The sequence below is a fragment of the Homo sapiens genome, chromosome 4 (genome assembly GCF_000001405.40).
Source record: "Homo sapiens chromosome 4, GRCh38.p14 Primary Assembly".
NCBI classification, from domain to species: domain Eukaryota; kingdom Metazoa; phylum Chordata; class Mammalia; order Primates; family Hominidae; genus Homo; species Homo sapiens.
The window spans coordinates 105,246,327-105,259,333 of NC_000004.12; the positions used below are offsets into that span (position 1 = coordinate 105,246,327).

A 13,007-nucleotide genomic window follows, 5' to 3' on the forward strand; every position below is an offset into this window, starting at 1 on the left:
ATAGTTGGACCAGAGTCTCAGAAAGCTTGTAGTTTGTTAGTTTAACTGCTCTAAATGTCAGGCAGATACAAAACTATTAAAAGACATGCTTCAAATATGAAGACAATTTAAAAGCACAGCTGTACACTTTTGCTTTTTGTCTAGTTTCAAGGTAAAGATGAATAATCATTTAGATAATGCTTAAGCTATGCTTATGCATACTTAGAGCAATTCTCCAAAATAAAAAATTTTAATACTTAAATACATGATTAAAATAGACACGTATCCAATGTCAATACAGACTTTACTCAGAAATAGCTTTTGAAGTTTCTTCTACCCCATAAATAGATTTTATTTTATGGCTGGCAGAAATGAAAATTACAACTTTTTGCCAAGAACAGAGAATAGAATAATCTCAAATTGGGGCTGCGGACTCAGTTTTATGTTCAAAGCTGTGTGAACCTCATCACTGAGTTCTTACAAATCCCTGTGTCCACATGCTCCAAACCACCCACTGTGAGTTCAGAAAAGAACTCTGAGTGCATCTTTCAGTAGGAAAGTAAAAACTGATTTTTACATTTCCTTTGAGCCAAACCAGCTGTTTCTTCTTTAAAGATTTCCCTTTGAGATTTCCATTTTATGACTAAGTCTAACCAGTATTTTTTTGGCAAGTAAGAGTTGTGGGAGTGTATCTGTCATCATAAGGAAATCAAAGCCAGAAATGCCTTCTGCCATGGTGGGTGATGTTAAACATTTCAAGGAACTTTATATTATAAAAATTGTCAAACATAAAAGGAAAAGTGCAATATAATGAATTCCATGGACCCATCACACAGCATCAATATTTATCAACATTTTATCAATATTTTTTCATATATTTTTCCCACATCCACTCCCACTAGTGTTTGAAAGCAGAAGACAGATAACTTACCATCTTACCTGTTAACATTTCAGGATGTATTTCTAACAGGTAAAGACTTTATCATTTAATATTTAGACTGTGTTTGTTCAAATTATCTGATTAGATTCTATTTCAGAAAACACACACATAAACAAAAATGATAATGAGAAAAAGAAAGCCCTTCCACATGATTGACACTTCTGAGTAGTGTGATCCCAGTTCATGTCCATTGTCTGGGATAGCTATTAAATAAAACTTCCTCTCATAAAATTCTCTCCATTTAGAAGATAAATTCTGTGATTCACAAGCCTCTTTTTATTTATAATAGCCCTTCCCCTTTCTTTATGAATTTGAATTTGTTTTTTAAAGAAACTGTGATTTTCTCTGTAAAATTCCCCACATTCTGGATTTGGCCGATTTCATCTTGGTTCTTTTGTTTACTTTAACCTATTCCTCTATCCCCAGTATCTTCTGTGGACTGGTAGTTTGACTGGTTCTTTTTCTTTTCTTTTTTTTTTTTTTTTTTTTTTTTTGAGACAGGCTCTCGCTCTGTCGCTTAGGCTGGAGTGCAGTGGCCCAATCTCAGCTCACTGCAACCTCCACCTCCCAGGTTCAAGCTATTCTCATGCCTCAGCCTCCTGAGTAACTGGGACTGCAAGCATGTGCCACCTCATCCTGCTGATTTTTGTACTTTTAGTAGAGACGGGGTTTCGCCATGTTGGCCAGGCTGGTCTGGAACTCCTGGCCTCAAGTGATCCGCCCACCTTGGCCTCCCAAAGTGCTGGGATTACAGGCATGAGCTATCACGCCCAGCTGATTTTTAAGTAATATAAGTATGTGTGCATGTATAGTATACATTGGCAAAAACACTTCATAAGTAGTGCTAAAATCATCTTATTTATATACATCAGGAGACACATAATGTCTGTTTGTTTCCCATTTTAGTGATATTAAGAGTGTTTAGCATGTTTAGTTGTCAGCCTGATCCATCATTATGTTCTTCATCAAACTTTCACCAGATAGTTTCACATCAATTGATGATCATTGCCTGTTTCTATTATTTTGTTTTCAAGTTGACAGTTTTCTCTCACTTGATGTTGTGTAAATTTAGTTATATAAAGTTAAATTATTTTGCTATTTTTTCTATGCTGTATACATTTGAATAACTGACCTAATTTTTACTTTAAAAATATTTTACAATTAGAAGTCCAAATAGTAAATCAAAGGTTAAGAATTTTTGCAGAAATCTGTTATATAGATGACATTTTAATATTTGCCCTTTATATCATTTACCATGAGCCAAATTTCAAGTCATATTAAAATGACTGTCATGTGCTAATTCTAACAATATTTGAAAGACCCCTATCAAAATAAATATACCTTTTAGTAGCCACTTTATTAGAAAATCAACTTTAAGTTATTCCCCCATGTTTTTTTCTAATTGAGATATAATTCACATACCATAAAATTTACCCTTTTAAAGTATACAATTCAGTTGTTTCAGTACATTCACAAAGCTATGCAAATGTCACCTCTACCTAGTTTCAGAACGTTTTCATCATTCCCAGAAGGAAACCCTGTATTTATTAGGCAGTCACTTCCCCTTCTCCCCTTCTTCCTTCCTCTAAGTGGCAACCACAAATAAACATTCAGTTTCTCTGGATTTACCTATTCTGGGCATTTTGTATTAGTGAAATCATGTATTTGGCCTTTCTCTCTGGCTTCTTTCATGTACCTCAATGTTTTCAAGTCTCATTCATTTTATTAAAAAAAAAAAGTACCTTTTTTCTTTTTCTTTTTTTTTTTTTTGTCCACGTATATATTCACACCACATTTTTTGAGACAGAGTCTCGCTCTGTTGCCCAGGCTAGGGTGCAATGGTGCAACCTCAGCTCACTGCAACCTCTGTCTCCCGGGTTCAAGTGATTCTCATGCCTCAGCCCCCAAGTAGTTGGGATTACAGTTGTGCACCACCACACCCAGCTAATTTTTGTATTTTTAGTAGAGACAGGGTTTCACCATGTTGGCTAGGCTGGTCTCAAACTCAGCCTCAAGTGATCCTTCTACCTTAGCCTCCTAAAGTGCTGGGATTACAAGCATGAGCCACTGTGCCCAGCCACATTTTCTTTTTCCATTTATTAGTTAATTGACATTTGGATCGTTTCTACTTTTTGGCGATTATAAATTATGCTGCAATGAACATCGGTGTACAAGTTTTTGTGTGAACATGTTTTCAGTTACCTTGGGATATACACCTAGGAGTGACATTGTTAGTAATATGGTAACTTTATGTTTAACTTTTTGAAGAACTGCCAAACTGTTTTCCAAAGTAGCTTTATGCTTTTACATTTCTGCCAACAATGTATGAAGGTTCCAGTGTATCTCCACATCCTCAAGAAAATGTTATTGTCTTTTTAATTGTAACCATCCAAGTGGGTATGAAGTTTATCTCGTGATTTTGATTTGCATTTTCCTAATGGCTGATATTGGGCATCTTTTCACGTGTGTATTGACCATGTATTTTTTTGAGAAAAGTCTACTTATATGTTTTTAATTGTATTATTTTTAGAGTTGTAAGAATATGTTATGTTGATACTTGAACTTTGTCAAATGCCTGGTTTGCAGATATTTTCTCCTATCCCACAGGTTGTCGCTTCACTTTGATAATGTCCTTAAAGTACAAAAGTTTTAAATTGATTTTGATGAAACTCAATTTCTTTTTAATTGGCAGCTTGTGCATTTGGGGTCATATTTAAGAAATCATTGCCTCATTCAAGATCTGAAAGATTTACACCTATGCTTTCTTCTCAGAGTATTATAACTTTAGTTCTTACATTTAGATTTTTAATTAATGTTGAGTTAATTTGATGGTGAGAGATAAGAGTCCAACTTCATTCCTTTGCAAGTAGCTGTCCAGTTTTCTCAGCACCATTTGTTAAAAGACTGTTTTTTTTCAATTAACTGACCAAGATGTATGGGTTTATTTCTGGACTCTTAATTCTGTTAATCTGCATGACTTTTCTTATGCCAGTACCACACTGTGCTGATTCCTGTAGTTTTGTAGTAAATTTTGAAATCAAGACAGGTAAGTCTTCCAACTTTGTACTTTTGCCTACCATGTTTCTTGGGTTTCCATATGCATTTTAAGATCAGCTTCTCCGTTTCCTTTCTGGATTTTTTTTTTTTTTTTTTTTTTTTTTTTTTTGGTGGAGCTGGAGTCTTACTATATTACCCAAGCTGGTTTTGAACTCCTGGCTAAAGAGATCCTCCCTCCTAGGCTTCCCAGAGAGCTGGGGTTACAGGCATGAGCCACCACATCCAACCCCCTTCTGGGACTTTGACTGGGGTTCTGTTGAATCTGTTGGTCAATTTGGAGAGTATTGATATCTTAACATTAAAGCTTCCAATTTATGAACACAGGCTATTTTTCCATTTATTCTTAAATTTCTTTCAGTAATGTTTTGGATGAAACATGTACAAAGTCCTGCACTTTTTATTTTTTTTAAGACAGAGTCTTGCTCTGCTGCCCAGTCCAGAGTGCAGTGCTGCCATCTCAGCTCACTGCAACCTCCACCTCCGGGTTCAAGTGATTCTCCTGCCTCAGCTGGAACTACAGGTGCGCGCCACCATGCCTGGCTAATTGTTTTGTGTTTTTGGTGGAGACAGGGTTTCACCATGTTGGCCAGGCTGGTCTCAAACACCTGGCCTCAAGTGACCTGACTGCCTTGGCCTCCCAAAGTACTGGGATTACAGGCATGAGCCACCACGCCTGGCCTGTACTTCTGTTAAAATTTTTTCTATGTATTTTTTTTATCCTATTGCAAAATCAAATTTTTTGTTGATAATATATGGTCATAAATTTCATTTTTATATATTGGTCTCATATCCTACCAACTTGCTGAACTAGCTTATTAGCACTAACTTTTTTTGGTAGATTCCTTAGGATTTGCTGCATACAAGATTATGTCATCTACAAGTAGAGATAGTTTTGTTTCTTCACTTCCAATCTGGGTGGCTTTATGTTTTTTTCTTGCCTGATTACCCAGTTAGAACTTCCAGAAAATGTCAGGTACAATTAACAACTGCAAACATCCTTGTCTTATTCATTTTAGAAAGAAATTTTTAGTTTTTCACCATTAAGTATGATACTAGTTGTAGGTTTTGTTTAAAAAAAGACTGTGTCAAGTTCAGAAGTTCCCTTCTGTTGCTAGTTTGTTGAATAATTTTATCACGAAAGGGTGTTGAACTTTTCTCAAATGCTGTGGCTACATCTAATGAAATGATCATGCGTTCTTCTCCTTTATTCTATTAATATGGTATATTATATTGATTCATTTTTATACATTAGATTAACATTATATTTCTGGAATAAATCCCACTTGGCCTCAGTGTGTATTACTTTTTATATATTGCTGGAGTCTGTTTGCAGGTATTTCATTGAGGACTTTCGCATCTCTGTTGATAAGGTATACTGATCTTTAGTTCTCTTGTGATATCTTTGGTTTTGGTGTCAGAGTAATTCTGAGTTCACAAAATGCATTGGGAAATGTTCCCTTCTCTATCTTTTGGAAGAGTTTACAAAGGATTGGTTTAACTCTTTTTTAAATGTTTGAGGAAATTCTCTACCCCTGGGCTTTCCTTTGTGGGAATTTTTAAACATTTTTAAAATAGATTATTTTTAAAGCAATTTTAGGGTAAAAGCACATTGAATGAAAGGCACAGAGCTTCCTTAAGTACATGCTGCCCCTGTATGTGCATAGCCTCCCTCATTATCAACATCCTTTACCAGAATGGTACATTTGTTGCAGTCAATGAACCTGCATTGACAATTGTCGATGAAAGTTCATAGTTTAGAGTTCACCTTTGGTGTTATGTATTCTGTGAGTCTGGATCCATGTTTAATGATACTCATTCACCATTACAGTATCATTCAGAGTAATTTCACTGCCTTAAAAGTCCTCTGTACCCTACCTATTTTTCTCTCCTACCCCACTAACCCTTAGCAACCAATGATCTTTTTATCTCAATAATTTTGCCTATTCCAGAATGTCATATAGTTGGAATGATACAGTATATGGAGCCTTTTCAGACTGGTTTTTGTCACTTAGTAATAAGCTTTTAAATTTTCCACCATGTCATGATCGTTCATTTCTTTTCAGCATTGAATAATATTCCATTGTCTGGTTTATCACAGTTGATTTATCCATTCACATAGTGAAAGACATCTTAGTTGCTTCCAAGTTTTGACAATTATGAATAAAGCTGTTATAAAAGTATGTAGGTTTTTGTGTGGACAAAAGTTTTCAGCTCCTTTGAGTAAATAACACAGAGCACAGTAGCTTGATTGACAGTAAGAGTAAGAAATATTTTTTCTCAGTCTGTGTCTTATTTTTTCATTCACTTGACAGTGCCATTTGCAGAACAAACAGAAAGTTTTAATTTTAATGAAGTCTAGGTTATCAGTTAATTCATGAATAATGTTTTTGGTATTGTATCTAAAAAGTCAACACCAAGGTCATCTATATGTTCTGTGTTATCTTCCAGAAATTTTATAGTTCTGCATTTTACATTTAGGGCTGTGACCCATTTTGCATTAATTTTGCAAAAGCTATAAAGACTATGTATAGATTCACTTGTTTGCATGTGGAGTTGTCCAGTTGTTCCCGTACCATTTCTTAAAGACTATCTTTGCTTTATTGTATTACCTTTGCTACTTTGTCAAAGATCAGTTGATTATAATTAAGTGGTCTGTTTCTGGACTCTTTATTCTGTTCCATTGATATATTTGTCTAGACTTTCACCAATACCACACTATCTTGTTAACTTAGGCTTTAGAGTAAGTCTTGCAATCATGTAGTGTCAGTCCTCTGACATTGTTTTTCTCCTTCAGTATTGAGTTGGCTATTCTTTTGCCTATTACTAAGTAAAAAAAGCAGTCTGAAAAGGCTATATATACAGTCATTTATTGGTCTTTTGCCTCTTGATATAAACTTTAAAATTACTTTGTCAGTATCCTCAAAATCTTGCAGGAATTTTGATAGATTGCACTGCATTTCTAGATTGAGTTAGAAATACTGCCATCTTGACAATACACATCTTCCTATCCATGAACATGGAACATCTCTTTCTTGGATATCCTTCATTAGAATTTTGCATTTTCCCCATATAGACCATGTACATATTAGATTTATACATAAATATTTCATTTGGGGGGGTGCTAATGGTAATGTATTTTTATCTCAGATTCTGCTTGTACATTGCTGGTATGCAGAAAAGTGATCAACTTTTGTATATTAAACTTGTTTCCTGCAACCATGTTATATAATCACTTTAGATCCAGTTTTTTTTTTTTTGGTCATTCTTTCATATTTTCTAGGTGATCATGTCATCTAGCAAAGACAACTTCTTTCTAATCTGTATACCTTTTATTTTCTTGTCTTAATGTATTAGCTAGCATTTCCAGTATGATGTTGAAAGGCATTGGTGAGAGGCAACATACTTGCCTTGTTCCTGATCTCAGCAGGAAATCTTCAATTTTATGTTAGCTCTATGGTTTTGTAGATATTCTTTATTTACATTAAATATGTTAGCTGTATGGTTTTGTATATATTCTTTATCAGGTTCAGGTAGTTCCCCTCTTTTCCTAGTTTACTGAGAGGCTTTTGAAAATCATTAATCAGTGTTGGATTTTGTAAATACTTTTTTTCCACCTATTGATATTACCATATGATTTTTCTTTAGCTTATTAACGAAATGGATTACATTAATTGATTTTCAAATTTTGAACTAGACTGGCATACCTGGAGCAAATCCCACATGGTTGTGATACATTATTTATGAATGCATTCATGGTCATGGTTGCTATTAGTCTGTAGTTATCTTTTATTGTAAAGACTTTGGTGTTGGTATTAAGGTAATGCTGCCCTCATAGAATAAGTTATGAAGTATTTTCTCTGCTTCTGTCTTAATTGAGATTGTAGAGAATTCATATAATTTCTTCCTTAAAACTTTGGTAGAAATCAGAATGAACCATCTGTGTCTGGTACTTTGTTTTGAAAAGTTATTGCTGATTCAATTTCTTTCATAGATATAGGCCTATTTAGATTATTATTTTGCATAAATATTGGTAGTTGTGTCCTTCAAGGAATTGGTCCATTTCACCTTGATTATTAAATGTGTGGGCACATTTGTTCATAATATTTCTTTATTATCCTTTGTTTTTGAGACAGGGTCTCACTCTGGTTGCCCAGGCTGGAGTGCAGTAGTATGATCTCAGCTCACTGCAGCCTTGACTTCCTGGGCTCAAGTGATTTACCCACCTCAGCCTCCCAAGTAGCTCGGACTACAGGCACATGCCACCATGCCTGGCTAATTTTTTTATTATTATTAGAGATGGAGTTTTCCTATGTTGCCCAGTGTGGTCTTGAACTCCTGGACTCAAGCAATCTGCCTGCCTCAGCCTCCAAAGAGTGATGGGATTGCAGGCATGAGCCATCACACCTAGCCTGATGGCAGAACTTTTTAGGAACAATAGAATGGTATATGGCATTTTCAAAAATTGTTTTCCCCTCCTCCTATGGAAGCATGAAGGGATTTTTCTCTAGTATTCATTGTGAGAACCTCATCTGGCTCCTGAATGTAGAAAACTCACAAAACTGTGAGGAACCTATTATGACTGGATGCCTTTGGAGTTGTTCACACTGAACCTCCAGCAATTCATCAATTATATTTCAGATTTTCCTATCCCAACACTGGTTCCTACAGAGGTTTCTGCTCCAGTAAGCTGTAATTCTTTTTATCCATCTGCTTCCTTGGTTGTGAGGGCAGTGATTTTCCCTGTGACCTCATTTCTCTGACAGATCTAAGTAGTCTTGATTACATCTTTTAACCTGTTGTAGGTATATTCAGATTTTCTATTTCTTCTTCAGTCAATTTTAGTAGTTTGTGTTTTTCTAGAAGTTTGTTCTCTAGCTCTGCTTTAGCTCCATCCAATAAAATATGAGTATGTCGAGTTTTCATTTACAACAAGGTATTTTCTAATTTCTATCATGTTTTTTTGATTCCTGACTGTATAGGAGTATATTTTTACCTATTACCCAAATTTGCTTGTTATTCATGTATAATTTTATCAGAAAACACACTTTGCACAATTTTTGCAGTGTTACATTTATTTAGACTTGTTTTATAACTTGACATACAGTCCATCCTGGAGAATGTTTCACGTGTGCTTGAGAAGAATGTGTATATTCAGCTGTTGGTGGGTGGCATGTTTTATAGATGTCTGTTAGACCTAGTTGGTTTATAGTGTTTTTTACAACTTCTGTTTTCTTTTTAATCTTCTATCTACTTTTAGCCATTATTGAAAGTGGATTAGTAAATTATCTATTTATTCCTTTAATTCTGCCATTTTTTGCTTCATGTATTTTGGTGCTCTGTTGCTTATTACATGTATGTTTACATTTGTTACATCATTTTAATGGCTTGAACTTTTTATTATAAAATGTGTATATCTTGTAGATATCGTATAGTTAAATCTTTTTAAAAATTGATATTGCTAGTCTTTGCCTTTTAATTTTTCAATTTATATACATTTAACATAATTATTGATAAGGTAGGATTTGTCTGCCATTTTGTCTGTATCTTGTCTTTTTTTGTGTTCAATAGATATTTTCTAGTGTACTGTTTTAATTCCCTTGTCTTTTACTAAATTTTTTGATGTTCTTAATGGTTTCCCTGGGGATTACAACTAACTTATAACAGCTAGTCTGAAGTAATACCAATTTCATTACAATATAAGGAAACTTTGTTCCCATATAGCTACATTCCCTCTTTTTACTCTGTGCTATTATACAAATTACATTTTATTTTATGCCCATTAACACAGATTATGTTTTTTCTTTTAAATCAGATTGATATTGTCATTTAAATCAAATATGAGAAAAATAGTTACAAAAAAATACATATATGATTTCATATTTACCTATGTAATTATCTTTACTGGTGCTCTTTAAGTTCTTAGGTGTATTTGAGGTACTGTCTAGTGTCCTTTCCTTTCAGCCTGAAGTATACATTTAGTATTTTTTGTAGGACATGCCTGAAAACAATAAACTCTTATTTATCAGAGAATGTCCTAATTTATTATATAATACATTTCTGAAAGATAGTTTTGCAAAATACAGAATTCTTGGTTGGCAGTCTTTTTCTTGTGGTTCTATGTCATTCTACTGCCTTCTGGTCTTCATTGTTTCTGATCAGAGATCAGCTATTAATCTTATTGGGAATCCTGCATACATGATAATCATACAGTTTTCATGATTTTCTTGTGTTGGCTTTCAGCAGTTTGGTTATGATGTTTATATGTATGCATATCTTTGGGTTTATGTTACATGGAGTTAGTTGAGCTTCTTGGACATGTAGATTGATGTTGTTCATCAAATTTGAGAAGTTTTCGGCCATTATTTTTCAAATATTCTTCCTATTCTTTATTCTTCATCCTCTACTTTGGGGACCTGCATTATGTCTATGTTGGTATGCTTTATGGTCTTCCACAGATCTCTGAGGTTCTGTTTATGTTTTCATTTTTCAGACTGAATAATCTCAATTGACTTATCTTCAAGTCCCTTTTTCCCCTCCTTTTCAACTCTGCTATTGAACCCCTCTAATTTTTACTGCAGTTATTACACTTTCAGCTTTAGAATTCTATTTAATAATATCTTTTTCTTGAGTTTATCTCATGTATTTAATAAAATGCTGTAGTCTTACTTTAGTTATTTAAATACAGTTTTCTTTCATTATTTGGGCATACATGAAATAGCTGACTTAAAGTCTTTGTCCAGTGGCCTAACATCTGGACTTTTTCAGGAATAGCCTCTATTGACTACTTTATAGGGGCCATACTTTGTTTCTGTTTCTCTTAATTGTTTAGACATTTTAAACTAATGTAATGGCTGAGAGCAGTGGCTCGTGCCTGTAATCCCAGCACGTTGAGAGGCCAAAGCAGGAGCATCACTTAAGCCCAGGAGTTCAAGACTAGCCTGGGCAGCATAGTGAGACCCTGTCTCTACAAAAATAAAAATAAATAAAATAATATAATCTGGTAAATCTGAAAATCAGATTCTACCCCCTGCCCAGAATATGTTACTGTTTCTGGTGGTTGTTGTTTATTTCTTTTTAACTACTCCTATAAAGTTTGTATTGTTTCTCATAGATAGCCATCGAAGTCTTTGCTTGGTTAACTTAGAGGTCAGCTAAGGATTAGACAGAATTCCTTAGGTGCCTGAGATCAATAAGTCAGTCTTTGACAAAGGGGTCTGTATGTGTGTTGGGGCATGCATTCAACACTCAGCCAGGCTATTTGCAGCTCTGGATTAGCCTTTATTCCCTGCTTGTGCAGAGTCTCAAGGTTAGACTGTGGTGAGAGTTTAGGGCTTTCTGAGGTCTTTTGTGGGCCCTACAGTTGCATGTGGCTTTCTAAATTCCCAGGAATATATTTTCAAAGCCTCCTGTGGATCATCTCATTTCCCAGGTAATTTACTTTTAAGCTTTTTTAGTTATCTTATGTTTTGCTCCAGTTATTAGCTACACCTGAGTCAGTGACAATATTCAACAGCTGCCTATGATTATTTGACAAATGCCTCTGTGGAAAAGGTGGTTCACACTAGGTGAACTCCAAGTTAGATAAAGTAAAGATAACCTTACTAGTGGGATCTTCCAGGAAACTACCAAACAGGTCAAATAATGTAAGGTCTCTGTGAATGGGACTTTAGAGTATATCCAACCAGTCTAGAGTATATCCAACCAATCTGGCCTCCTCTAGTGGCAGCCTGGCTGCTGCTTTTCATAATAAATGTGGGCTGTTTTGATTTGAAGGCTACCATAGAGCTGTGGGGAAAGTTAAAATACCACAGAGCTCACTCTTCTCACTGAAATCCTGTCTTTTTTTCCCTTGAACAAATTCTCCCTATATTGCTGCAAGCTTTTTGCTAATTTCCAGATCTGAAAAAGCTGATTCTGACAATATTTATCAGTACTTTTATTGCTTTTATGGAGGATAAAATTTTCAGAGATCCTTATTCTGCCATTTTTGCTGACATGTGTAAAGTGATCATTTCTAATTGTAAAATTCCTTTTGCATTTATTAGCTGGAATACTTTACAGGACTTTTCCTCATCAACCGTTAGTTACCATTTAATATAGTTTGTAAGAATGATAGAATAAATGCATGGCAAGAATCTTTACTTCTCAAATTTCAGAGATTTTGATGGGAAATTATATTTAGAGATCACAATCAGTGTCTAGATGTGCTCCCTGCTATGGAGGTGTCATTACTTTTAGGCTTTTTTAATGGGCAAATACATGAAGTAATTATTTTTTAGAAAGAAAATCTGAGATTAACTCAAATCATTAATTCATACTGATTTTTCCTATTCATAGTTGACAGAGTATTATTATCTTTTGTTCTGCTTCTCTTGTACACTGAAATTCTTGGTTTTTGATATTAACAATTATTTACTTATATCACAATATACATACATTAATTTAAAAATAATTTACAGTGCTACCTGAATATTTTTTCTTGTAAGTTGTTTTATCTCTCTTTGCTTACTTGTATGTTTGTTTATTGTCATTAGAATGTATCAAACTAGGGCTATAAAGCTGTAATACTATATTTTAGCCAGAAACTAGGACCTAGCACTCAAATGCCCATCAATGGTAGAATAATTCATCACATTTTTATAAGATGGAATATGGTACTCAATGAAAATGAATAAAGTACAACTACATGCAGTGATTTGGATGGATATCCCAAACATAATGGAAAAAGCACACACAAATAAGCTTATATTATATAATTCCATATACCTATGTATATATCAAGTATAAAAGTAGGCAAAACAAGCTACTGATGGTGGCACACACCTATAGTTCCAGCTATTTGGGAGGCTGAGGCGGGAAGATCACTTGAGCCCAGAAGTTCAGGTTCAACCTGAGCAACATAGCAAGACCCCATCTGTAAAAAAGAAAGCATTATTAACATAAAAATAGGCAGAACTACTATATTCTTAGAGAAGTTACTGTTAGGGAGACAGACAGTGAGTGACTGAAAGGCAAAATGAGGGGAAATTCC

The 13,007-nt window shown here is 34.5% G+C and overlaps 1 protein-coding gene and 1 long non-coding RNA gene across 8 annotated transcripts in view; one reads left to right on the forward strand and one right to left on the reverse strand.

The window, feature by feature from the left end:
* Positions 1-13,007, forward strand: part of TET2 (tet methylcytosine dioxygenase 2) — a 133,929-nt gene that overhangs the window by 100,452 nt on the left and 20,470 nt on the right. The gene's annotated exons all lie outside the window — the stretch shown is intronic.
* Positions 1-13,007, reverse strand: part of TET2-AS1 (TET2 antisense RNA 1) — a 181,528-nt gene that overhangs the window by 74,973 nt on the left and 93,548 nt on the right. The window lies entirely within an intron of this gene.